General features: G+C 47.2%; 1 protein-coding gene across 41 annotated transcripts in view, besides 4 other annotated features; it reads left to right on the top strand.

Annotated features, from left to right (window-relative positions):
- Window positions 1-26,967, top strand: part of GRB10 (growth factor receptor bound protein 10) — a 203,386-nt gene that overhangs the window by 104,752 nt on the left and 71,667 nt on the right. For 23 of the 41 annotated variants that reach the window (XM_017012061.3, XM_047420233.1, XM_017012034.2 and 20 more), the window contains 3 exons: window positions 14,044-14,266; window positions 18,839-18,980; window positions 26,755-26,889. In XM_017012061.3, the coding sequence (XP_016867550.1) occupies window positions 14,079-14,266; window positions 18,839-18,980; window positions 26,755-26,889 (465 nt within the window). In that variant the 5' untranslated portion in view covers window positions 14,044-14,078. The remainder of the gene's footprint in view (window positions 1-14,043; window positions 14,267-18,838; window positions 18,981-26,754; window positions 26,890-26,967) is intronic. The other 18 variants (XM_047420243.1, NM_001371008.1, XM_047420241.1 and 15 more) reach the window with 1 other exon arrangement.
- Window positions 18,461-18,960: an enhancer, noted in NCBI's record as "H3K4me1 hESC enhancer chr7:50737439-50737938 (GRCh37/hg19 assembly coordinates)". NCBI's record gives its function as "activates a minimal SCP1, AML or CMV promoter by ChIP-STARR-seq in primed H9 embryonic stem cells {active_cell/tissue: H9 hESC(primed)}" and the evidence as "EXISTENCE:reporter gene assay evidence [ECO:0000049][PMID:30033119]".
- Window positions 18,961-19,462: an enhancer, noted in NCBI's record as "H3K4me1 hESC enhancer chr7:50736937-50737438 (GRCh37/hg19 assembly coordinates)". NCBI's record gives its function as "activates a minimal SCP1, AML or CMV promoter by ChIP-STARR-seq in primed H9 embryonic stem cells {active_cell/tissue: H9 hESC(primed)}" and the evidence as "EXISTENCE:reporter gene assay evidence [ECO:0000049][PMID:30033119]".
- Window positions 25,354-25,523: an enhancer, noted in NCBI's record as "experimental_99465 CRE fragment used in MPRA reporter constructs". NCBI's record gives its function as "activates a minimal promoter by MPRAs in K562 erythroleukemia cells, with activity observed for the introgressed 7:50730961 or rs3819431 variant allele {active_cell/tissue: K562}" and the evidence as "EXISTENCE:reporter gene assay evidence [ECO:0000049][PMID:34662402]".
- Window position 25,438: a transcriptional cis regulatory region, noted in NCBI's record as "Neanderthal adaptively introgressed variant 7:50730961 (GRCh37/hg19 assembly coordinates) or rs3819431 in the experimental_99465 CRE". NCBI's record gives its function as "modulates activity of the experimental_99465 enhancer by MPRAs in K562 erythroleukemia cells {active_cell/tissue: K562}" and the evidence as "EXISTENCE:reporter gene assay evidence [ECO:0000049][PMID:34662402]".

The following is a 26,967-nucleotide window of genomic DNA, read 5'->3' as shown; positions in this document are numbered from 1 at the left end:
ACAGTCTGGGAACACCATTGTCTTCTCTGAGAGTGGGATTCAGTGGCCTAGGAGTGAGTCCTCACTCTACTCTTTGGCGTCTTCTCACATCCTTCCTGTACACACATCACCTGGGCCAGCTGCATAGACAGCTTACCTTTCTGGAACCGCTGTTTATTTTTGCCCTCCCCGGCCTTTGTCTATGGGCTGCCCCTAGCCAGGAATGATTTAACCTCTTTTGAGTGTTTAAGTTTCTCTCATTCTTTGGTCCTGACAAAGATGACACTACCTTCTCCCTGGATGTTTCTCTTTCTCCCTCTGCCCATTAAAAGCAGCTGCTTCCTCTTTGGTATCCCCTGTGGCTTTTTACTTCTCCCCCAGACCTGTCATACTTCACTTTATTAAATTATCAAATACATGTCTGCCTTTGCAGTTTATGTTCCTTAAGCCCAGGGATCATGTTGTTTTTTGTTTTTTAAATCTGGGAAAACTGAAAGATGTTGGATTTGTAGTTAAACCAGAGGAGGAATCAAGTTTTACTCATAGCTGTGTGGTGCTGAGTGTGTGTTTTAGCCTTGCTGACCTTGGTTTTCTCATTTGTGAAATGTGGCTGATAGCATTTAGCTCATGGTTTGGCATAAGGCTACTTAGATGCCATATGTGAACATTTGGCATAGTGCTAGATTCTTGTACTGTTCCTCCCTCCCCTCCACGGTTTCTCAATCTGAACCACTCTTTTTCACCAGCATACACTGCATTGAGCAGAACAGACGAGGAATACTTGTGAAATACAATACTGAATTTGGCTTTGTTGAGTGCTAAGTGTCTATGCTTCTTGGAGATGTGAGCAGTAAGTACACGATGTGTCAGACACACTTATTTTCACCTTCCATTTGGAAATAGAAATCTTCCCAGGGCAGCGCCCAGCATCCCACCAAGCACCAACTTCTCATATTCCATTGTGGTCTCTGCTGGCAGGACAAGGTACTGAGGGGGAGACTGACCTTACATCATGGGCAGCTGCTGTGCCTTAGAAGGACAGCAGATTTGTTGTTTTGTAGACACCATGCGGAAGCAGAGAAGAAGGTAGTGACATGCAAAATGGTGTCTTCCCTACGGCAGGATCCGCAGATGCATGGAGCTGCACCCAGGGTTGAGTGGAGACATGAAAGGCTTGGGCTTATGTGGGAAGCGTGCATGCAAGAGGTGGCTGGGGTTTCTCAGAGCAGAAAAGCCCAGGGCAGACGTTGAATTCGCTGCACTTCCTGGACAGAAACACTATTGGGATGGGCAAGGCAGGATTCAAGGCAGAGGTGTGAAGGCTCGCCATAGAGGAGGGCTTGTTGAGTGTCACTCCTGGAGCCTACGGAGTCGCAGGGAGGCCTGGCATGGTCAGGTAGACTTGGTAAGGCCTGACTGCTGGGGAATGTATCCTGCCAATAGATTCCTGGGCCTGGAACAGCTCTTCTTTGGACACATGCCATCCATTTTTGGAATAAGACAATCTGGCATTTATGTACCTGGTGGGTTACCCTCTGGGCCTTTTTCCAAGAAACTAAAAGTTTGGAGATACAGCAGCCTCCAGAGAGTTTGGGAGCTCTGCCTGGCTGGCTGGCTTTCGGGAAAATTCTACCGCTTGATTGACGGAAACTGATGAATCTATTTCCCACCTACTCAACTAACGTGTACTGAGCACCTGCTGTGTGCCAGACTCAGGGTAAGGTCATGAGGCAAGGGCAGCTCCGGCCTTCTAGAAACTCAAGTTCACTGACAAAGGAAGGTATCTAAATAAAAAAATAAAACTTACATTTAGTGAGGAAAAAACTAAAGAAAATTATTAAAACGTAAGGAGGCAGTATGTGCAACTTTGGAGTTAGGCAGACTCTCCACTCTGTGTCTTGGTAGCCAAGTTTTTGGGTGCCTCAGTTTCTTCTCCTGAAATATATAAAAATGCCTGCTTGGCTGGTTTGGTAGGAAGATGAGGAAAAGCTTGAACTATGAGAATTGCCTGGCATAGTATCTGGTACCTTGCAGGTGCTCAAAAAATGGTGGCTTTTGTTTGTCATGCTGATTAATAATGTAATGTTCTATAGAGAGAAACAATAAAAATCAAAACATGAGTCTTTTCCTCTCTCATGACTCCCCACTGTGAAATCTCTCTCCCTGTGCTTGTTCCATACTTTGTTCATCAAAACCTGGAGCATCCCCTCTCCCTGGAGCATTGTTCAGAAGGCACCTCAAAAATAATTATCTTAAAAATAGTAAGCATTCATTTTGGAACTGTCTTAGTCTGTTTGAGTTGCTGTAAGAAAATGCCATCAATTGGGTGGCTTACAAACAACATAAATTTATTTCTCCCAGCTTTGGAGGCTGGGGAGTCCAAGATCAAGGTGCTCCCAGATCTGGCAACTGATGATGACTCTCCCTCTGCATCACAGATGGCGTCTTCTTGCCGTGTCCTCACATGGTGGAATGGGGAAGGGTCTCTCCAGGGCTTTATAAGGGCACGAATTCCATCATTTGGGTTCTACCCCAATGACCCAATCACCTCCCAAAGGCCCCACCTCCTAATACCTTCACTGTAGAGGTTAGGATTTCAACACATGAATTTTGGGAGAACACAGATATTCAGACCCTAACAGGAACTCTGTTCGTTTTCTGAGCCCACCCCCGGAGACTGGGAATCAGAATGCCAGGTGCATCTCAGGAACTGGTTTTCCCACCCCAGAAGTTCCTAGGTGGCCCCATGCATCTGGCGGTTTGAGGGTTACAGCTCTAGATCATCTGCCCCTTAAGGCCCATCTGGAGTGTCCTGTTTTTCTGGTTACACTGCATTTCCATCCACATTCTGGAAAACCAGCTCCTCTCTCCTGGGCATTTCAGTTTTTGGAGAACTGCCATTTCTTGGAATCGCCTGGTACTGTTCTCCTAGAATGACTTTTCTCATCCTGATGCCTTAGAATTCAGGCTCTTTTTAGAGCTGAATGCCCTCTACTTGACTGTCTTGTCTGTAAACAGAGATCTCATTTTAAAACTCTTCTCTCTGCCAAGCAGTGTGCATAACCATCCTAGGAGAATTTCTGGCCTCTGGGATACTTTTATAAACTGGGAGCGTCATGAACTCTGCCAAGAAACTCTTCATCTGAGGACGCACACTGTACTCGACTCTGCACTTCCCTTGACTTCCCACTCATCCTTCACCTCTCTTGCAGAACGCTGGGGCTTGGGATCCCTCCTTCGGGCTCCAGTACCCCTTGCCCTTGGGTGCCCACTCTTTCCTACGGGATATGTCCACCCCCTCGTCTCTCCTTTAGTTGCCACTTAACTGAAGCAGGTTTTAGCTTCTTTGTGGAGGGAATTATTTTTCCAGAAGTAGTAAAAACAGTTTCCTGTCCTTTCTTGCTATGTTATATTTAGCCTTGTAAATCCTTTTCCAAAGATCGTTGCTTAAGACGTCACTGCATCGAGGTGGCAGGGATTTGTCTCTGTTTTGTTAACATCTGTATTTCCAATACCTGAAGTGATGTAGTTAGTGTTCAGCAAATATTTGTTGAATGAAGAAAAATATCGGGTAAATGAATGGATTTTAAATTTATGGAGTTAAATCCACAGAATCATAGAGTGTTAACATTGGATGTGATGGTAAAGATTCCCCGGTGTCTAATTTACCTTTAAAAAATGGACTTTCTGAGAGAGCACAGTGCTAGTGAGTGACAGAAATTTGGACCATAACCTGGATTTTCCCTCTTCAGTTCCAGTGTTCTCGGGCTAATATTTTTAGGGTTCATGGAAAATGAGAACCTTCCAGAATGACAAGTTATTTATATAGTTTCTTGTACTTCTGCTTCTCCGTGACTTGTGATGTAATAGAAGAGTTAGGAATTGAAATAAAAAGCCTGAGAGGAAACAGATCAAATGGCTAAGGAAGACTTGGGAAAGATACAGTTAATCCTTTGCTCTTTTTGAGTAATATTTTGTGGGTATGTTTCTCTGTCACTCCCGAAGTGTCTTTTGAGTAGTACAGATAGAAATTGCTTAGCTGAATCTGTGCATATTAAATGCAGTTTTAGCTTAGGTTTTTGGTTCTTGCTGGGCAGGCTGTAATGTTTTGGTAGTGGAAAATTTGTTTTCCTGTGTTGTATAGGCTCTATGGTGCAGAGTCCAGGCAGTCATAAAGGGCCTGACGGGATCTTAGTAATGCCCAGGTGCTTCCTTGCAGCAGTGTAGCAGGATGAAACCAAGGAAAAGGAAACTTTACATGCTTTTCTAGGGGATGCTCACTGAACATTGGATGCCAGGTCTTTGATGAAATCGCTAAGATGAATTGCTTTCCTTATTTTTTTTAAATATAATTATTGTACAACTCCCTAAACCACAATTAAAAAAAAAATCTCACTGGAATCAAAGTACAGAGTGATTAATTATTACCTTACCTTTTTTTTTTTTTTTTTTTTTGGTGATGATTGAGTTGCAGTTGTCTGGCCGCCAGGCTATCTGCATTTGATTCTGAAGTTTGTCCTAGACTTTAGCCTTTGCTACCAGTTGTCCTGGGGAAATGGGTGAGGGGCTGTTGGCCCAGCTGTGTGTAAAAGGAGATAGACTTTCTACATTTTTATAAGTTTAATTTAATGAGCCTCCACTGGCGGCGGCACTTTGCATGTGTCATTAAAGATAAACAGTTTTTTAAAATCCCACCTGCCATGTTCTGCAGGATTGGTGGGGAAGCATACACATTTATACTGAAAATTCTTATTTTTCTAGGAAGAGGAATCTATGTTTAGTGTAACTTAGGAAATGACTAGCCTTGTCCTGGTCCTTTAACAAGCCAATCTGCTTGGCATCACCTGGAGGGTAACCTGGGAACAATTCAATTTAAAAACTGCGTTTGTTTTTTAATTATTATTTTTAATTGTGGTAAAATATACCTAACACAATTTACCACCCTTACCATTATTTTTTATTTTTTGTTTTTTATTTATTTTTTTTGAGATGGAGTCTCGCTCTGTCACCCAGGCTGGAATGCAGTGGCATGATCTCAGCTCACTGCAATGTCCACCTCCCGGGTTCAAGCGATTCTCCTGCCTCAGGCTCTTGAATAGCTGGGATTACAGGTGCACACCACCACACCTGGCTAATTTTTGTATTTTTAATAGAGACAGGGTTTCGCCATGTTGATCAGGCTGGTCTCGAACTCCTGACCTCAGGTGATCCACCCGCCACGGCCTCCCAAAGTGCTGGGATTACAGGCGTGAGCCACTGCTCCCAGCCCATCCTTACCATTTTTAAATGCACATTTCAATGGCATTAAGAACGTTCACATGGTTGCACAACCTTCACCACCATCCATCCATAGAACTCTATTCATCTGGCAAAAATGAAACTCTGTACCCATCAAATAAATAACACCCCATTTCCTTCCCTAGCCCCTGGCCACCACCATTCCACTATCTCTAGGAATTTGACTACTCCAGGGACCCCATGAGCAGAATCAGATAGTGTTTATCCTTTTGTGACTGGCTTATTATGTCCTCAAGGTTCTTCTGAGTTCTAGTGCGTTTCAGAGGCACCTTCCTTTTTTGTGGCTGAATAATATTCCATTGTGTGTATATGTGCCACATTTTCTTCATCTGTTCATCTGTTGAGGGGCACTTGTGCTGTTTCCGCCTTTGGGTTGTGAATAGTGCTGTTGTGAACAAGGGTGTACGATTATCTGTTGAAGTCCCTACTTTCAATTTTGGGGGGTATATACCTGCTTTTACTTTTTAAAAATAGAACAAAGAAAGAAAAACAAATTTGTATTTCTTCTAAGCTTTGAAGATATTTAATTATTGAATATGAATAAGCCCAAATTTCCCCATTGCAACATTTCAGTGTGAGCGTTGAGATTTAACAGATTTATGTTTCCCTCCCCTTTGAATTGGACCAGAAAATATATGCTGACAGTTACTAATTAATAAAAACCATTTTCTGTCATGAAATCTCATTCCTTAGGCCACCTTTCCTCTCTGATTCAAATATATTTTCCAAAGTGTAAATACTCATTTCTGATTTAAAACTTTTCAAACCACTGCTATAAAGTGACAAGCCAAAAAGTACAGAAACAAAGTAGTATATATATTGGTTTTTAACTTGTCAAATACTTAACTGGAAATACTAAAGGCCTGAAAGATAAAAAGCAAAAATGAGGGTCATCCCTTTGTTCGGGTGATGTTGAGCCGACATGATCATTGATTTTCAAATACGGTTACCAATCCTTTTCACACACTTACCCAAAAACACCAAATAGCAGATATCATGGCTCTGACCCTGCCTGAGGGCACGTTAATGACTTTTCCCACCTAAATCCCAGAGCCTGGGGAAAACGTCAGCAGAGGTGTAGGCCAAAATGAGCAGAGCCTAGCAATCTACCCAAACAGATGCCAAGGCAGGCTGCCACCTGCCAAACTCTCTTCCTCACTGGAGTGACTCACCACACTCTGGACAAAGGGGTCAGGGGCTCCTAAAATTGCTGTGTTTAGCCAACTGCTCCAGGCGTTCTGAGGTGAGCTACGATCCCTTCTCAAGAGTCTCTGGATTCCCTTATGCCCTTCAGGTCCCTTCCCAATATCTTGGTTCCCAAGGTGGCCAGTGCTGGGGGGCAACAGAAACATTGGGTTGAGTGGGTAGCAGGGCTGCCTCCAGCCAAGGAAAGCAAAGCCCCCTACCATCTCCTGCTCTGTTTCTTCTAAGGATCACCTGACACACTCAGGATTCATCAACCCGGGGCTCAGAGACTCCTCTGCTCAGCACTGACACACCCAGAGTCAGAAATTCTATTAGGTTGGCAGCCCTGGCTGGTGAAATTAAACTCCTACCAGGCGCAGAAGCAGGAAGGCTAGGGCAAAATGACTTAAAAGGGGAAGTTACACCTCACATGGAAGGCAAGGGTGCAGCCCCCGTGAAACGTGAAAAATGCAAATGGAAACTTGAAGAAAGCATGTCAAATGTTTACTTTTGCATTTTGAAGGAGCCCCATAAACTCAAATACACTCAGATGCCCAGGCAGTCTTTTCAGTGCTTCATGGCAGGCTCCGTGTGCACACAGAGGAAAGAGGCTCATAAACCAGATTATTCTGGCAACAGAATCATTTCCTGGTTGTTGCGTTGTAAGAATCCTCTCTCCTTCCACAAGGGAGATATGATTTTAGCAGCTCATTTGTAAAATACAGGTTTTTCTCTATCCACTGTTAACAGTCACATTTTCAAGGAAACAAAGAAGAAAGGGTCTGGAGAGCCTTAAGGTCGGGCGGCATCCTGGGAGCCATAAACACCATCGCCCCTCGAGTTGGGACTAAGAGGAGGCCGGAAGACTGGAGCAGCTTGCCTAAAGTCCAAAAGGGCCAGGGATGCAGCTCAGGGCTGTCTGCATATCCGATGGTAGTCTTTGGGGTAGAGCCGGAGGCTTCTCCGTGGAGGGGCTCCCCTTCTTGTCTCCCAGCCTTCTGCACCCTGCCAGGCAGCTCATGAGCTGTGCCTGCTCTGTGCCTCATCTTCGTGGTTGTAGACTGAGATTTGGCTCTCAGTCGCTTCTTAGTTGCTTTGAATCTAAATAGCAGCCATAGATACTTAAACACTCAAAGGGCGGGGTAGTGCTTTATTTAGAAAGAATGTGTATATTTAAATGTAGCTTTAAGGAGAGCAGAGGACAGATTTTATGAAAGCAGAGAATCAGTAGTCTCCATATTTTGTGTTATCTGTAGAATTGTTGAGTAGGGCCCTGGATCTGTAAGTCATATTGGGATCTTCTTGGAGGAGGGTCTGGATGGAGTTTCAAGGTAGCAGAAGACAATGCCCCTGCCCTCAGGGAATTGGATATAGGATTAAATATGCATGCAGCCTTCCTGGATACACTAGCCTGCATTTGTCTTAGGAGAAGAAAAAAAACATTCTAAGAAAAATAATTAAGAAACCACCTGTAAATAGTAATCAGGAACAAGTGAGTGTAGCCTCAGCAGACTGAGAGGATCCTTGTGATTTTAGCTTTGTCTAACTATGTTATGCCCAGGATATATGTTTATTTTTGTCCCATTTTATGTCATCACAAACTTTGAATATGCTTTGGATGGCGATTCTGCCCATGTGGCCTGTGGGTCCTGGGAGTCGGAGTGGAGACTTCTGAGTCTCCATAGGCACCAGCACTGATTGGAGCCCTGCCACTGCCCATTAGCATAGGCCACGACTCTTTTGCAGATGTGTCTGTACATAATGAAAAACCAAAAAACGTATATTCTTACAAATTGTTAAATTCATCAGTTTGTTGATATGTGTTTTCTCAATTACTAGAGACTGAAAATGGTGGTTCCCCTTGTCTTTTGTGAGCTGGGTAGAGAGGAGAGGATGCCATTTTCAACAAAGGTTGGGAGAAGGAAGTTTCTCTTATAAACACTGAAAGCCAAGAGTTATGACTGTGTAGCTCTTTCTAGGTACAAGGATATTTATATGCATTTGCTGGACAGACTAATTCTAGGGATTTTATTTTCTGCCTCAAATCCTGCCTGTGTGTAGGAACCCGTGAAATAAAGCATTGATTCCATTTGTATTTTTATTTGGAGTTGTGGTTAGGTGGTTTGCTTTTGTGTTTGCTGAATATCTTTAAATACCATAAATATGATAGAGAAGAATACTCTAACCATATAATACCTGGTTTTCTTATTCTACTTACTTATGTCCAAACTCTATATATGGGAAATTAAGTGCATGTGACTAGAATACATGAGAATAGAAGATAAATTGTTGTTCAGAAAGCTGTTTCAGTAGAAGGTTAAGTTATATTTGCACAAAGTTTTAATTGGTTAGAAGTTAACAGAAATTGCTTGCCAAGTGAACATGGTCTAGTGGAAAACACTTTTGCAGCCTGACCTTCACTTCTTTTCTAGATAGAAATGTGTAAGGACTTTGGCTTTTGCACATGTGTTAGAGACTTTTCATGTAAAGTGCCATTTATCTGTTTCTTAGGGACTGAATCTGCTTTGACTTAATGATATACCCCCACCCCAGCTGTTTATGACTTAACAGGGTATATCTTCCATATGAAAATGGGGGAAGGGGGTAGTGGAGAAAGCTCTGAAGGCATCGCACACTGATGGAAGCTTGTGTAGGTCTGTGAAGAAGGGATCGTAATGGACACGTCCTAAACACATGGTGCAAATAACATGTCCTTATGTTGCCAAATCATTTAGTAAAGTGAATCCAGTGTCATCTTTAATCCCTAAACAATGTAAAGAAGACACTAGATGGTGCTGTAAACTAAGAAATGTATTGGTGAAGGTGGTGAGATGGTGCTAGAAGTTAAATCCTCTGTCCCCGGAGTTTCTCTGTCCTCTTTGCCTTTTCCTAGTCAGCACACCTAGCCTGCTGCATGGAAGACATTTACTCGTGATGATTTATAAGCCCGATGCAAATGTGTTTCGCTGAGTTTATATCTATTTTAAAACTAAGCCAGCCTCAGTTTGCTAATGACAGTGAAACTAGATGAGATGTGAATTTGAGATCAGACAAGCTACTCAAATATTTGGGGCAAAGTTAATACCCAGTTTTGGACTGGGTTATTTAAAGAAGGAAAATAACTATTAATAACATGATTGACAGCCATGTTGTTTGACCTATATTTGTGCAGAAAATACATTCTTATAAATCCGTCTGAAGTGAAATTTTATATATAAAATTATTTTTTTCTTCACCTTTCACTATTCCTCCCAGTGGGGCAGCCCCATGGAAAATATTTTGGCGTCAAGTTAACATTAAATAGACAATCTGAATATTCACTGCGAGAAGCATTTGTTTACTTGTTTCTCCCACTTCTGTTACGTGGCAGAAGGCCTTTCACAAATGGGTGATTATTGATCCACTTGGATTCATGGGACCAGACAAGAATTTTGCAGTTGACCACACCCACAGAGGTGGCACACAGAGTCCTTACTGAGGTAGACCAGCTGACAGAATAAACGCCATAGGGATGCTTGTAAGAACTCAGTGTGATTTCAGTCGTATCTTAATGTAGTAATTAAAAAAAAAATGGTGTAGAATATGAAAAATTGTCTTCTTTTGAATCAAACCTTTAAAACCCCTGTTTGGAAGATTTAACTGTCGCTCTTCGTTAGAATTTAGTGAAGCTTACAAGTCAGAGAACCATAATTGATTTTATTATCTAAACAGATAAAATGCTAATGAACCCCACAGGACATTTTACAGTTGTTTCTAAAGTATGGCATTTAAAATTTCTAAAAAGTTTTATTTTTGCTGTAATGGCTCTGGAAAGTATGAAGGTTTGAAACATCCAGATAGAGTGGTTGGATTCAGTTTATGAAGATTATAACCTATTGAGTTACCAGATTGACCTGGCTTTGTTGAAAATATTCATGATTGAATGTATTAAAGTAGAAAATAGTTGTACAAATAATCCACCTCAGAGGAGAGTAAAAGCATTTTGAGGATATGTGTTGTGTTTATATTTTGGCATCTGTTACCTTATATTTACTTTGAATAATGACAGAATTACTTTGCATTTGACCTAATTGCAGAGCTATGACCCAGGAATGATCTGGTTGACTGACAGAAGGCTTAGCAGGAAAAGGACAGGAGACCCCGGGGGCTGCTTGCCTGGGGAGCACAGCCAAGGGGCTGTTAGGAATGCATAGAGAGAAATAACTGCACATGAAAATTCCCCAGAGGGAATGAAAACATGTTATTTTCCTAGAAGAGAACAGTCTCAGAGTAGGAACTGTACCACTGTTTTTATTTCCAAAGCAGGATTAAAAGCCTGGCATTGAATTGGCAGAGTGGCCCCACAGCACACGTGTATGTGTGTGCAAGTGTGTGCATGTGTGTGGACATGTTCGCACGTGTGCACGTGTGTGGCATTGAGACCAACCTGCATCACCCAAGACTGACTATACTTAACAGTGAACTTTGTGTTTTGGCCAGTATTGACTTTTAGATGGCCCACTGAGATAGAAATATTGAGCTGTTAATACGGTAAGTTAAGAGTGGCGCTCGTGCTAATTGTTTTGCAGAGCTTCAATTAAGCAGCTATTCCCTGTCAGCTAAATAGGAGTGTAGGAGATGAGTGGGTGCGTGATGCATACGTTCTAGAACTTTCCTGAAGCCCCAGATTCGTGGTCTCCACTATAACTTTTCCTCAAGATGGATGCAGCAGTCTCAATAAATACAGAACTGAGGTCTTGTCTTTGGCAGGCAGAGTTCTCTGGACTGCAATTTTCGCTCCAGCAGTTGGCAGTGAGGCTCTCCTCTCCCTGAGGCCACAAGCCTTCTGGGCCTCGGGTAGCTCAGGCAGGTACATGCCTGCCCCTCCAGGGGTCCTGATTTTTTGCCAACCAACTCTTCCCCACCCCACCTCACCCCAGCTATGAGCAAGAGTTCGCCTGCTGACTCTGAGTGTTCTTCCTTGTGATTAATTATTGATTATGCAGTAATTATTAATTATTGATTCAGCACTTTGTCCTTTTAATATCTGGCCAGGATTAATATTTGACCACTCACAACCTGAACCATGGCAACATCTCTCTTCTTCCCTCCTTCCACACAGATCCTGGGCACACAGGGCCCTGCTTGCTGCGTCTCAGCTGCTGATTTCACCCAGTCCGCATCTTCGGATCCATCTGACCCCTGTTTTTCTAAGGCAACCTTCCTCTTCCAGCCTGATGCTCCCCAGCCCCTGCCCTCTCCCCTGGCCCTGGTTTGAATGTGGCCTCTGTTCTTCCAGCAAGGGCTGTGCTGGCCAGGCCTCAGTGATCTCATCGCTGCCATTTCAGCAGCCTCCCTTCTGTCCTCACCCCTCCCTTCTATCTGTCTGTCTTCACCAGGATCTTGAGCGTGATCTGGCTAAACCCTGCTCCTACTGTCCCACCCACTCCAGAAGCCCAAGCACTACCCCCGGGGGTGACCCTGCCCACTCCATACCCCCTCTGCACTACCGTGGTTGCCCAGGACTTCCCTCCCTCATTGTTGTTGTTTTGTTTCCTTATGTCTTGTCTTGTTATGCCCTTTAGCCTTGAGAGATGAGGGGAGCCCTTTAAAACAAAGGCCTTCCTAACCAGAGGGCAGAGTGCCCCTCTGAAGCTTCTGTGAGGAGCACACACCTGGTAGGAGAGAATGAGGGATGCAAAGCTTATTTTCAATACCGCTTATGTGACCTTGGGCAGGTGATTTAATTCTTCCAGGCCTATTTCCTCAGCTGTTAAGCCAGGTTAATAACGATCACTTTTTGTTATTTTGTAAGAAATAGATGAAATAGGGCTAATAAATAACATCTTCCTGTTTACTGTGTGCCAAGCTGTGTTATAAAGCAGATAATAACTAACCTAGTCCTTACAACCCCCCCCCCCCCCCGGTGGGGTGGACACTATTGCTAAGCTCATGTTAGAGTTGAGGACTCTTAAGAAATAGGAAGCCCACGTCCTGGGCCCTGGGCCCAGAGCTACTAGGAGCAGGGCAGGGTGAGCAAGTTTGCAAGTGCCGGTCTCTGCTTTCCTTCCTACCAATGTAGCCTTTGGTAGGAAGAGGGTCTTGCTGTCTGTGACCCTGTGTGTTAAGTGGGTGTAACTTGCAGCTATTCTGGGAGCAGAAGAGAGGACGAATTATGTGAGCTTCCATCATTATTTGCCATGATGTCAAAAAGCGAAAAATCTAAAAATGCAGAAGAAAGGAGTCAATATTATTAGAATGTATTGGGTTACACGTACAAAACTCACTCAAATTAGCTTAAGCACAACAACAACAAAATTATTGTATGGATGCAAGAATGTTTTACCAATCTTCCCTGAGCAGGAGTGCAGCCAGGCCTTAGGAAGCACCGGAAGCTGCACAGCCCTAGCTCCTGGCTCCCTTTCCCCGTCCCACCCCAACCCCTCCCCATCTCCATGTGCTGGGTTGTAGCCCTAGGTCTCTGTTTCTCTGGAGAAACAGACCCATTAAATAGGCTGTATACAGAGAGAGACACATGTGTTTTAGGAATTGGCTCATGACACTGTGGAGGCTAGCAAGTCCAAAATCTGCAGGGCAGGCTGGCAGGCTGGACATCCAGGGAAGGGTTGCAGCTCAGGTCTGGAGGCAGAATTCCATCTTTCCCCTTGGAGGCCGGTCTTTTTCTTCTATTCAGGTCTTCAGGTGATGGGCTGAGGCACTCTCACATGAGAGAGAACAATCTGCTTTACTCAAAGTCTGTGGTTTAAATGTTAATTACATCTAAAAAATACTTTCACAGCATCTAGTCTAGTGTTTAGCTAAAACCTGGCACCATGGCCCAGCCAAGTTGGCACATAAAACCAACCATCACTGTCTCTGCGTGCTCATTCCTCCCTTTCTACAGTGCGTTTTCCGCCGCTCTCTCTCTCACTTACTCTCTGTGCCATTGTGGCTTCTCTCTCTGCATCTGCCCCATGCCTTCCTCTGTGAAGATGGGCTTCCTTCTGCACTCTGGCCAATCGAGAGGATGGGTGGGCACCCGAAGCCCTCAGGCATGTGTTGTAGTAGCAGCCACACACAAACCCCTGCCACAGTGTCAGCCCCTACTTAACCTTTCTGGGCTGGAACCAGTGTCAGTGTTGGGTGCTGCTCTGTTTCTGTCTCTTGTTTCACTTCTGGAATCCCAGGGAAGGGAGAGTCCTGATCCTGGGAGACACCTGTGATTCAGTCAGCTGAGTCCAGGCCAGTGGGGTCGTGCTATGCAGCTGTGGCTGTGTGCGGCCTACCGGAGGGGGTGGGGAGGAGAGAAGGGGGTGCTGAAGGGAGCTGAGCAGATGCTCTGAATGGCTTCTCCCTGGAGACAGGTAGAAATGCAGCCCAGCTCTAATGATTGAATTGTCTCTGGAATGTCAGTCATGATGAATACATGTAATATGCATGCTTCCATACAGTCATACTTGTCTTGGTGTTTCCCCTCTACCCCTTCCATAATATTTGAAAAATAGGATTGAGGTTTGGAACCTGATCACCAAGATGTACATTTGGGTTTGATTGCTCTCCATTGTTAAAGTTTCTTTTTTGCTCTTGCCTTTTTCTGTGCAGAGGATGATGTGGACCTGGAAGCCCTGGTGAACGATATGAATGCATCCCTGGAGAGCCTGTACTCGGCCTGCAGCATGCAGTCAGACACGGTGCCCCTCCTGCAGAATGGCCAGCATGCCCGCAGCCAGCCTCGGGCTTCAGGCCCTCCTCGGTCCATCCAGCCACAGGTGTCCCCGAGGCAGAGGGTGCAGCGCTCCCAGCCTGTGCACATCCTCGCTGTCAGGTAGGTCCAGGCCTTATGGGCAGAGCCTTCTCCAAGGATGAGAGCTGTCGGCAGGGACACTGCTCTCTGTGAGTTAAATGGTGTTGGGGGGAATAGTGTTGGTCTTGCAAAGTCAAGAGGCAGATACATTGCTTTGATGGGATAACGGATACACTGAGTGTGTGCAGTGTGCCGCCCTTGGGTTGAACTTTGTAGCCAGTTCAATTCCAGTAGTACCTTTTATTGAGTGCCTGCTATGTGCAAGGCACTGTGCTAGGTAGAGGGATATGCAGGAAAACCACCAGAGGAAAAATCTCTGGAAAGATTGGAAGAACAGCCATGGAGCTGATTGCATGCCCCAAGTCCTCACTACCCAGAGTAGGGACGGGAGGCTAGCAGCTACAGCACCCCCTGGAGCTTGTCGTGCAACCCCAGACCTCCCTCAGAGTTGCATTTTGCCACATTCCTCTGCTAATTCAGGGGTAGGCACATCTCTGTGGAAACAGGGAGGCTGGAGGGAGGAACGTGCTGGGGACGTTGAGGGAGGTTCCTGGGAGGTAGGATTTCTGAACGGATGTCAAAGGGTGATAGGAGCTCAGATAGATGGAGGCAGAGGTTTTGTGAGCAGAAGAGATGATGCAGATGGGGGCCGGTGCTGAAGCACTTTGTGTGCCTTTTTCAGGAGCCACGTGAGAAAGAGTTCTGGACAGGCGTGTGAAGGGGCTGGGTTTGGGTTTTGACACCAGCATTCTGGTTGCCAGGGGTCGTGGGGGCAGTGGTAGAGGGCAGCAGGGTTGGCAGAGCATGGCCGGTTTGGAAGTGGTCTCAGGAGCCCCCGGATGGGAGATGATTGTGCGCTGCCTGAGGATGAAGAAGGAGGGGGGATTTGAGCACGTTGCTGAGGAGGAGCAGCTGCGTTTTGCCAGCACTTGAATTTTGCCAGGGCTGTGAGGAGACAGAGAGTGTGTGGAGGGTGACTTGGATTTTGTCTCGAGTGCCTGGGAGGAGGGTGTCTAGAGAATGGTCATGTCGAAGGTGAAGGTGCTGAGAGTACCTTAGACATTCTGAATGAAGATCTTTGTAGAATCAAGCTGAGAGCCAGGGGCAGCCCTCAAGGATCCGCCTGTCTGCCCTGTCGCAGTCGGGATGGCGTGGGGCTCCGTGGGACCCTGCGTGCCTCTCTGGGCCTTTGCGGAGGATGTACAGCCATCTCTGCTGGGACTGCCCCTTGCCCTCACTGGCCTCTGTCAGGATGGGGTTCTGGTGCCTTCTGTCTCAGCACCCCATCTTCCGGGGAGCTCTGTTCATTTCCTGGGCTCTTCTTGCTTCTAGAAACTTCTGAGAGTTTTCTTTGTGGTCTGACATCTTGGGTCTTCCGCAGCCCAGATAATCACCTTGCCCCAGGTGGCAGCTGTTTCTTACGGAGGGGAGAGGGTGCAGCGGCCCTGGCGCCCGTGGTCAGCTGCCTCCCCAGCTTCCCACCCCGGCTTCCCCTCCGACTTCTCACTTTTTGTCATATTCATTGATGCTGAATGATGCCTGTCCCAGGGTTTGTTCAACTTTGCTCTTTGAAGCGTGACCCCTTGTACTTAGCTCCTGAGGAGTTAAGTCTGGTGGGAGAGCTGTTTTTCTCTTGGGAGCATCTCTTGGGAGCATCACAGTAGCCTTGGGGAGTGCCTGGGAATATGGAGGTGCAGTTGCATGGCGAAGGTGCCCGAGGGTGGGCTGGAAAGCCAGAAGGCCTGCCTCCCTGCTGGAGTAGTTGCCCAGGACCCTTGAACCTCGAGTTCTGGCTGAACTCGCCCATATGTGCCCCGGGACTACCTGCGCTAAGTCCCTGGGATGGAGGGGCAGGCTTGCTCTGTGGGACAGCAAAGCCCTCTCCCTACAGGGTCACAGGTGCTGTTCCTTGGGCCCAATGTCTTCTCTCTGGTGTCCTCTCAGATAAGTAGTTTTGTTTCTTACTTTCAGGTGGATTAAAAAAAAATGTGGAGATCAATCTGGAATCACCAAAGATTATTTTGTGAAGTGAGGCCATTTGCTGAGTGCTTACTGTGTGCAGATGCTGATGAGCTCCTCCTTGTTATCAGTGCCCTCGGAGGGAGGCAGTGTGGGTTACCCTCGCTTCCCAGCTGAGGAAACCGTGGCACAGCGGGGCGGTAACTGGGCTCACCACATCAGGTGGGAAGTGGCCATGGAGCAGGCTGCTGGGTACCAGAGGTCACGGAGCATGGTCCACGCTGCAGAGGAACTTACCGGGGGCTGCCATGCAACCCGAAGGGAGCTGGGGGGCAGGCAGGGTATGGGCAGAGGAGACACTTGGGAAGGGCAAGAAGGCTTTGCACATAGGAAAGCCGATGGGTGAGCCGATTCTGTACAGAGAAGGAACCCAGGCTTTTGAGAGTGCAAGGGCCACGCATGTGTTCTAGACAAACACAAGTGAGCCAAGGCACAGAGAAGAAGGACCTCGCCCCTCAGCTCTGCAGTTCCTGCCACCATCCCTGACATCCCTAAATCTCAGCACCCCTCTCCATAGTCACTGTCCCTTCTATTGTGAGCCTCTTTGGTGGGGATTTTTTGTCTTTGTGTGATATCCCTTAGTCTTGCCTTAGGCGATGTCTCTGAGCCGCTTTAAAGTCAACACAGGACTTTTTAAAATGCTCAAAACAACCCAATAAATAGAGAAGCTTTTGTGGACACTAAAACGTCAGATTATCTTTTTGGGGTGAAGTCACTGGCTAGAAGCCGTGGATGGGAAAGTGGCACTGGCCACCCGTTTTATCCATCTCCTCCTGTATGACAATGGCCAGACGTTTCAGTTGGACGCCTTGCCAAGGCTGAAGCTGTTATGGGAAGAGTGGGATTTGTTCACAGTAAAAATAAACTTTATGGCATGTCATCAAACCATTATAGGAACGGCTTTCCTGTATTTCGCAGCACTGATTCCCTTCATGCCATGTGAGTTCTCGTAATTTTAAATCCATGCATCATTTGCTGGTCTACGTGGGATAGTTAGCTGGATCTTCCTTTAAAAAATAGGGAAAGTTGGTAAAAGAGAAAAAGTAATACAGTCACAAAATGTGTTTCTGTAGTGGCAAATCTCCTGGGAAAGCTAACGGATTGTTGATTTTGTGAAATCGTAAAAATTGTCAAAAAAATTACTTGAGGACACAGCCTATGATGGGGGTTTCTGAGGTATGTTTAAACATGGGGAGGGATTGGAAATGCCGAGTGAAGATAATGTGAGGTTTGCTCCCCTCTCCTTGAAGGTAGGAGGCTGCAGACAGGGCCGCGTGGCCTCAGGAAGGGTGGAGGAGGCTGTGTGTCCAGGAGTGCCCTGGAGGTGTGGGCCAGAAGTTACTCTACAGAGGGGAGGTGCCAGACACTTGACATTCGCTTTGACTTTGAACTTGATTTCTCTGCTGTTCACAGTTGCTTCTGATTCGTCATACTGTGTGTGTGTTGCATAGTTGTGTGACAAGTGGGTTGTGCATTTTTCGGAGGAGGGAACAGATGCCCCTGGAGATGTGCCAGGAAAGTAGAGGTGGTGTGTGGATTCAGCGTGTGTTTCCAAGGTGTGTTTCTAATGTGGACACAGGCTTTGCGAGGACAGATACATGAAGCTATAATTTCCAGTTAATTCAGTGTCAACAACCTTTTTATATAAGTAACCATCCATTGCATAATTCAGATGAGAACACACAGCCTTTTCTTGTATTTTCATTTGATTAGATTAATGCTCATTTCAAGGACATTGAAAAACACTTGGTTCTCATGAAAATGCTCATATTCAGAAAACTTTCACACATCAGGTATTCACTGATCAAACGGATGAGGTATTTGGAGCTGATGCCATGTCAGGCACTGAATGCTGCCTGAGATGAGCACGCACCCAGGACAACAAAACTTCGGCACCCCGCCCCCCGCCCCCGATGCCTAATGAAGAAGAGAATTGATACCCAATACCCTTTGGGTCTGAGAATGACAACTTGTAATTTTTTTAAAGTTTTCGTTTTAGTAAAATACATGTAACATAAAATTTACCATATTAACTGTTTTTTTCAGGGTACAGTTCGGTAGTATTAATGCACACTCACAATGGTTGTACAATCTCCAGAACTTTCTCATCTTATGAAACTGAAACTCTGTCCCCAATAAACAGCGATTCCCCATTGCCCTCCCCTTAGTCCCCTGGCAGCCACCCTTCTATTTTCTATGGGTTTGAATACACTACCTACCTCACTGGGTGAAATCACACAGTGTCTCTGGTTTTGTGACTGGTGTGTTTGACTCTGCATAATGTCTTCAGGGTTCATCCGTGTCGTAGCCTGTGTCAGAATGTGCTTCCTTTTTCATGGCTGAGTAGTGTTCCATGGTATGGATATGCCACATATTGTTCATCCATTCATCCATCTGCAGACCCTTGGGATGCCTCTACTTTTTGGCTTTTGTGAAGGATGCCACTGTGAACGTGGGCATGCCAGTGACTCCTAGAAGCCCTGTGTCCTGCTTTCTGGGTGTATCACCACAGTGGTAAGGCTGGGTCATGTGGGGAATGGCAGCTTTTAACAGGCACTTATCCCTGCCTTCCAGGCGCCTTCAGGAGGAAGACCAGCAGTTTAGAACCTCATCTCTGCCGGCCATCCCCAATCCTTTTCCTGAACTCTGTGGCCCTGGGAGCCCCCCTGTGCTCACGCCGGGTTCTTTACCTCCGAGCCAGGCCGCCGCAAAGCAGGTGAGTGTGCCCCTGGCTGGAGCCCAGGCTGAGGGATATGCCAGATTATTGGGATCTGCACAGATGTGCCAGATTATTACTTTGGGAAGAAGGGCGGGAAGTCCTGGGATCTTCTCTCTCAGTTCTTTTCTTGTTGTCACAGTACTTGTTGTCCTATGAGGCCGATACAGTTTGGATGTTGTCCCCTCCAAATCCCATGTGGAATTGTAATCCCCAATTTTGGAGGCAGGGCCTGGTGGGAGGTGATTGGATCTTAGGGGTAGATTCCTCATGGCTTGGTGCTGTCCTCACAATAGTAAGTTCTCACGAGATCTGGTTGTTTAAAAGTGCGTGTCATCTCCTCCCCTTGCTCCCACTCCTGCTGTGCGAGACGCCAGTTCCTGCTTTGCCTTCTGGCATGATTGTAAGCTCCTAAGTCCTCATCAGAAGCCGAGCACATGCCCGCACCATGATTCTTGTACAGGCTGCAGAACCATGAACCAATTAAACCTCTTTTCATTATTGATCAAAACTCTGTTTTATCTTTATATTTTAGAAAAAGTCTCATAAAAAATGGCAAATAATAACAATGATTTGATGTTTAAAGATGAATCTTAGTTCTTTGAAAAAGTTTCACCACTGGCTCAATAATAGGTGTGAAAATGCTGGGCTCACCCGGGCACCTGGATGTCAGTACACAGGAGTTGAAGAGTTTCTGTCTTGTAGTCCTGACTTTGAATATGATCTGCCGAAAGCAGAAGAGTTTCCATTGGACCCGCAGGGCAATAACCTCCTTTTTGAACTTGTAGTTTCTACTTAAAGTAGATCCATGAAGTAGATAGGACACAACCATTGTCCCCATATGAGGAAACTGAGGCACAGAGCATTTCAGTAATGTGTCCAAGGTCAAACAGCCAACAAGTCAGCTTAGCAGAGAAACTGGCAGAGAAAGGGGTTGAAAGTTCCTCCCCACCGGTTGGCAGGGCTGTGAGCCAGGATGGGCTGCAGCCTCTGGAGGAAGACCCCTAGGGGTGGAGGTGATCATTAGAACAACTGCGCCATCTGATGTTTATGGAGTGAGGGATTTCTGTGTGCCAGGCCTTGTCGTAAGTGGTGGATATGTTTATTTTTTGTTTATTTATATGTTCATTTACTCCTCATGCCATCCCGTATGAATTAAGTACGCATGTTCCCTCTGTTCCACAGTTGAGGGAAGGGAGGCCCCTGTAAGCAGCTGAGCTGAGTGTGGCTGAGACCTGATGGTGCGGCTGAGTGTGACCCGGCCTCAGAATCGGAGCCTGTGATTGCAGCCACTGTGCTGATTGGCTTCCCGGGACTTTGACTTTCCTTCTGCTAAATGCATATTTAGAAGTCATTTTGCCCTTCTACTTGAATCATCTCTTCTCCCTACTTGCTCTCACTTCCCTACCTTTGCTGTTCTCAAGCAAGACAGGCCAGCCATCCCTTTCTCTGCAAATCTGCCTGTCCTGTGCCATGCAAGGTCTGTCCTCTTGAGAGAGAGACCTTTTTCCAATACCCGCTGGCTCCCAAGTGTGGGTCCCGTTCTGACCTCAGGCCCCCGGAGCAGGCTGCATTATGGCACTATCAAAACTTAGAAGGTGAGGTAAGTGTCCCTCATCTGGGAGCCAGCACTGGCTGGGCTTGTGCACTTTGTCACATGTCTAAAGTGCATCTGGGATGTCTACCTCGCTGGTGACCTTCTGCTTCAAATAAGGATCCAGACAAGCTGTCTGTGGGTTTTGTCACTGAGGTTGTTTACAGAGCTACCCATTCTAAAATAAGACCATGAAAATATTATCTGGCTCTCTCAGCCTTTGGCAAGAAAATTGGCCTCCACCCCCAGGGATTGTCCAAATTTGTAAGCAGAACAAGGAAACCGGGGAATTTTGCCTGCTGGTGTTTTTCTTGGGATCAGAGCTTGTTCCCCATGAGAACGTGGCATTGGTGTCTGTGTCACTCGTGTCCTCAAGCCCACAGAAACGACCAGGAAGGATGTTTCTCACTCAGAACTAGAACTACTTGTAGAAAGTCCTTGTTCTTTGTTCTTTTTTTTTTTTTCCCGACTTGCTTGAAGGGATATTTCTTTATCTGTACTTGGTGTTGACTTCTGATCTCATGAAAAGTGTGTTTTCTCAGTGCAGTCGGTAGCAAGTGCTGGACAACCTCCAGCCACTTCCCAGGGCTTTGGATCTAGGATCACGGTGGGGGATGGTGCTGGGCAAAGAGCTTTGGCTCCATTCCTTGCCCCTTGCTTGAGGAAAAGAGAAATCTGATGTTCTTCTTCCCTTCATTCAAGTCAGAGGAAGTAATGCTGAGACCAAGGTCTAGTCAAGGATTCTGAAGTAGTAGAAAAATTGACAAAGTGGACCCGATACATAAAGTGGCTTTGCTCACAGGGAAGAACTCAGTTAACGTAGGAAAAGAAGAAAGCATAACGAAATCTATGGAAGGTAATGGGATAGTGAGGTGATTGGAAACTTCCTCATTCATGTCATTATGTTCACTATTAAATAGCAGATTCATGAAGAAGGCAACGGGAGGAAAAAGTAGAGATATTTAAACTTCCATGAGAAAGGAAAAATCATTCTTGCCCAAGCTTTGTAGGCAAAGCCTTCTGAAATTCCCACACAGGCATTAGTACCTTTCTTCTGCCTCTCTCCTTTTTTTTTTTTTTTTTTTGAGACAGAGTCTCGCTCTGTCGCCCAGGCTGCTGGAGTGCAGTGGCGCAATCTCGGCTCACTGCAAGCTCTGCCTCCTGGGTTCACGCCAGTCTCCTGCCTCAGCCTCCTGAGTAGCTGGGACTACAGGCGCCCGCCACCACGCCCGGCTAATTTTTTGTATTTTTAGTAGAGACGGGGTTTCACCGTGTTAGCCAGGATGGTCTCGATCTCCTGTCCTTGTGATCCGCCCACCTCGGCCTCCCAAAGTGCTGGGATTACAGATGTGAGCCACTGCGCCTGGCCCTGCCTCTCTCCTTTTTAAGTGACTCCTTGGTAGCTCCGTAATGTGATAAGAGATCAGATGCTGGTGTCCAGAGACCCCAGGTCTGAGAGCAAGCAACTACCATGATGTGGACCTGGCGCTCCTCACAGCATGCTGAGCCCCCTGGCCCGCGTGCTGGGACAGGGTGGGAGAGTGGCAGTGGTCTCACTGCAGCATTTGTGGGCCCTCACGGATCTGAGTTCCACCTGCAGCTCTGGTGTGTCTCCTTTCTAGACATGTAAGATACAAGCTCAGTGCCCTGTAAAGGCTACGGGCCAATGGGACTTGATGAAAGGAAGGAGGGGAGGGAAAATTCTGCATGGGAGTAGTCATGGGTAGAGAAGAGCCCTCAGCCTCCTATTCAACAGCACGCGATTCCTCCAATGCCGCCTCCCTCTGAGCTCTCTGCCTTCGCTCACCTTGAGCCCCTACAACGGGCCGGGTGTTTTGCCAGACCCTGAGACCAAGAGGTTGACCGCAAAGTGGGCCCTGCTCTCGTGAGCTTAGCACGATGGTGACAGAGTGAAGAGCTATCTGAGAGGAAGCAGGATGGAGTAGTTGGTAGTCTAAGACGTGGCAGGCATGTGCCAAAAGAGAGCAGCCATTATTCTATCTAGAAGGACAGGGAGGTCTTCCCCAGCTGCCTTGCGTCCTCTCCCTGGGGATCCCAGAGCATGCAGCAGCCCCAGGCAGGCTTACCAAGTTCTTCCACGATGACTGCACCCTGGCTTCGTGACCCTGCATTGGCCAGGTTCTTCCTGAGTGCTGTGCTGAGTTTGCTAAGGGTACCCATGGGGCTTGCCTGAGTCATCTGGGTTGGCGGGAATAGCTGAGTTTCAAACCTGTGATCCTCCAGCTGTGGGGGAGACGTACACCGGCGCAAAGGGGGCTACTTCTGATCGGAGATCCACGTGCTGGGATGTCACCGTCTGACAGCCCACTCATTCCTTCCTGCCTGGCTGTCCTTCACCTGCCCTGGATTCAACTTCCTCACCCTGCCCAGGCTCTGCTTCCTCTTCTGGGTCTGGGGTCCTGCCCAGGTGCTTCTACAGAAGCAGTGCAGGGTCGGTCTCACCTCCCTGGTCCCACCCAGGCTCGTTGCTACCCCCACGTGGGGTGGCACCCGCCCTGCAGCTGCTCAGCATTTGGCCAGGGGGAGCCCTGAGAGCAGTTTGTCCAACGTGTTATGGGTTCCAAACCTGGGCCGGTCAGACCCTTGGTGGAAGCATGGAAATCTGGAGCCAGTAAACCCAGGCACTTCCACGCACCTCTGCCACTGGCTCATGGGCCCTCACTGGTGTTTGGGTGCTCATAAATAGTGTGAGATGTTTTGGAGTTGTCTTTCTAGACTTCTTGGGCTTTCTGTTTTATTTTGTTGTTGATGATGAATTTTAAAACAGCAATGTTTTGGCTTGTTAATATTTAAGCCAGAGTCTATTGGTCTTGCGTTTACCTGAGGTTGTACTCTATGGCTTCACCATTAAAGTGAGAGAGCACACAGACCTATTCCCTCACGGAAGGCAAAAACTGATGTTAGAGCAGACATCCCCCTTTGCTCTGGGAGAGTGCATAGAGGAACCGTGATGTATGGTTTTACATAGTGTCTGTTAGAGGTGACAGCAGTCCTCCTTGTCAGCAGTGAGTGACTTTCATTGGAAGGTATAGCTTCTGTGGAGATGATTCCATCATTTATTAAATGGCATTTAATTTTATTCAGTGGTTTGATTTATTTAAGTTTAATAATACCTCGTCATTGACTTACCAAAAATACAAATACATAAGAATTTCTTTCTGAGTGTTTAATTTCTTTCCTCTAAAAGGTGGTGAAATTAAATTAGTCATTGTTCAGGAAACTGGATATTTGTGGTAAAAATCAACAGGGTATTTTTAACTGCTTTGTGACTCATTTGAAAAGACAGGCTGTTGTGGTAAGGGTGATTGATATAGCAAAGACTTGTGAGCCCTGAGGCCAAGCACCATGCTCCGGCCGGAGAGGCTGGGCTCACGGTCTAGTTGGTGCCACTGGGTCTCTGTGGTGAGGCTGCCTTTGATCTTGGTGCCCTGGCAGACACTGGCTGCAGTGGTCCTCCTTTGCGTCAGACCCTCCGGGGCCTTCTGAGTTGAGGAAGCGCCATGCAGTGTGCCTGGAGCTGGCCTCGGGTGTCGGGAGGGAGGGGCACCACAGAAGGATGTGCTCCGAGACCTGGGACTTGGGCCAGGTGCCAGACAATCCTGGGTAAATACCAGAGCTGTCCCCCCTGCCCCCACAGACACACTGCAGAGGACCCTGGCAGGTGGGCTGGCCCCCCGCCACGGCCTGGTGACTGTCTCCCTCTGCTGTACTTCTTTAAGGTCCTGGGAGAGGAGAGAAAGGTGAGTGGGGTGCCATTTTCTTCCTGCAGGTGCTGGGTGAAGTTCAGAAGGCTCTGAGAGGCTGAGGGGAGCCATGTGTATAGGTACATTTGACTGTTCAGGCTGGTGGGTACGATACCCTGTAGGGGGGCTGTCCCAAAGGCCTTCTCGGTTCCTGCATTCTGATCCTGGCTGTTTGCTGTGTGAGGAGGGTGTCAGCTCAGCGACATCAGAAGTCAGGGCAGAAGTAGCTCCTCGAGGCAAGACTGAGCGTCGGTGTCCACGCTAGGGAAGAGGGGCCCTGTGTCCACAGCCACCGCCCATCAGCCGAGCATGGCCAGCAGGAGCATGGGACCAGTGTCACCAGAAAATTGGATGCTTTGAGAGAAATCAGAATTGCCACTGAAGACCTGAACTCTCCACATTTTGCACATTTCAGTGTCTGTAAGCACTGTGTGGGCTGAAGCAGACACCCTGGCAGGCAGGTCCTGGCCTGCTGGTTTCGGCTGTGGCATCCTGCGAGGTGACTCCTATGGTGTCTGCATTGTCTCCCTGCACCTGGCATGCCAGGGGCTTTCCCTGATGGGCACTGGATCTGGCGTCCACTAAGGGCTCAGCAAGCTGGGATGATGGCCCGAATCTAAAAAGGATTACATTAAATAGGCTTTCAAAATGATGTCTGCACATGCAGCTACAAAAGTATCACCAAGAGGATGGCAGCTGCAGCCACTGCTGCTTGTGAGAGAAGGGCTCAGTTAGTTAGACACGTGGCTCCAGTCAGCAGTCCAGTATGACCTTTCCTGAGTGGCTGGCTTGACCATTCTGCTCTGACAGAAATAGGTTTTCTAGAAGCTAGTGGCTTTGTTGTGTTCTTTCTTGGATGCCATTATCCCTGTGAGAAGGACCCTAGTCACATGGCACTCATCCCAAGTGGAGGGACTCGATGGTGAGAGGCTGTGGCAGGAGGCAAAGGAGAAAATGGGAAGTGGTTAAGGATCATTTGGGGCACTTGTGGCTATTTCCTACAGCACACACATGGGAGGGATGCCTCCTACTCTCTGGGTCCAGAGGCTGGAACAAGGGCCAGAGAGGTACAGGGAGGTGCCACCTACTCCTTGTGGGGGAAGGTCCCTTCACCTGTCAGCATCCCCAGGGAGGGGGCTGCCTGGGGTCCCACTTCCTGTCACTGGAATGTCCCAGCAGCATCTCACTCTGCAGCAGGAGTGGCCTTGCCCTTCCCAGGCTGTGCTGGCTTTATCTCCATGTCAGCTCTGAGGATGCACCCTGGGCCCTCTTCCCTGTCATCCTCACCCGTGGAGCAGGGACAGCGAGTGGGCCTTTGAAAGAAATGTTTTAAGTCAAGGGATAACTGAAAATGTAATGAATCAACAAATGAATCTATGTTATGGAAGAGAATTTGCAAAATTGGTAAAGGTTGAAGTAGATTCCCTTGAGAGTCTAGCTCAGGTGTCTGTAAGAGCATCACCTGAAAGCATAAGGAATAGCTTCTCTGCATTCCAGATGGACAAGGAAGAGGCTTCAGATGAATCAGGTGATGTTAGACCAAGACTCACATTTGGGTTCTAAGAGATTCTATCAGGTAGAATCTTAATTTTCCTGTTTTTTAGCATCCGTTGGTGGTTACTACACATTTAATTTTCACAGCACTTCCACATGCTGCAAGGGAGAGACTATTTTCATATGGTGAAACCAAGGTCCTGAAGCTCCACAAGGTGAAATACTTTGGCTGGAGTCACACAGCCAACTAGAGGTACAGGCAGGAAATTGTACTCAATCTAGATGAGCCCAAAGCCTTAGTCTTCTTCCTGCCCCTCCCAGACCTCTGAGGTCAGCACTCTGCTGAGTTTGGAGAAGACACTCTGAGTCTGTCCCCCCTCCTGCCTGGGGCTGAAGCATCACCCCCCAAATGCAGCACACACTGGCATTTGCTGCTGAAAGGAGATGGATTTGTGCAGGCAGTGGAGGAGCTTAGCATCCAATTCTGAATAACCCTTCATTTCTTGGAGGTATTGGCAGACTTTCATTCCACTTATCAGGGAGCCTCGGTTTCCTGATTGTGCCTCGCACATCCTGGGTCATGACCATCGGAGAGGAAGACCTCTCTGAAAAGGAGGCCCAGGGGCTTTTAAGGACAGCACCTCCACTGCCAGGAAGCTGCCCCTCCTGCCATGCACCAGCCTGGGACTGCCAGGGGCTTGGTCTTCAACTGAGAAGGTCAAGGCACCTGGGCATGGGGCCAGACTCCAACTCCACAACATTGCAGGTAATGACAGTAGTAACACCAGCTGCTGAGATGTGGGGAGTCCTTCTCCTGGCAAGCGTGGGACACTGTGCTTCACCTGCTTTCAGGATGCCTTTGGCTGCAAGAAATAAAACCAAATCTGTCTGGTCTCTATTGTAAGGAGAGTTGCTTTTGCAGAACAGGAAGTCTAGGGCCGGAGACAGCAGCCACCACAGCCTCGTCCTGTGTCACGGCACTTGTCCTCTCTCCACAACGGCAGCTGGTGAGACCAGAGTTGGGCTTGTCACCCAGAAGCAGCTGTTCCATATACGGGTGGGTAAGCCAGGTATGCAGAAATGTGAAGTGGTGGCAAGGGCAACTGAGGCAACATGTGGGGCGCACTGACCCCAC

Source organism: Homo sapiens, chromosome 7, assembly GCF_000001405.40.
Source record: "Homo sapiens chromosome 7, GRCh38.p14 Primary Assembly".
Lineage (NCBI taxonomy): Eukaryota > Metazoa > Chordata > Mammalia > Primates > Hominidae > Homo > Homo sapiens.
Note: the sequence above shows the minus strand (reverse complement) of the source record. Positions and strands in the feature narration are given on the sequence as shown.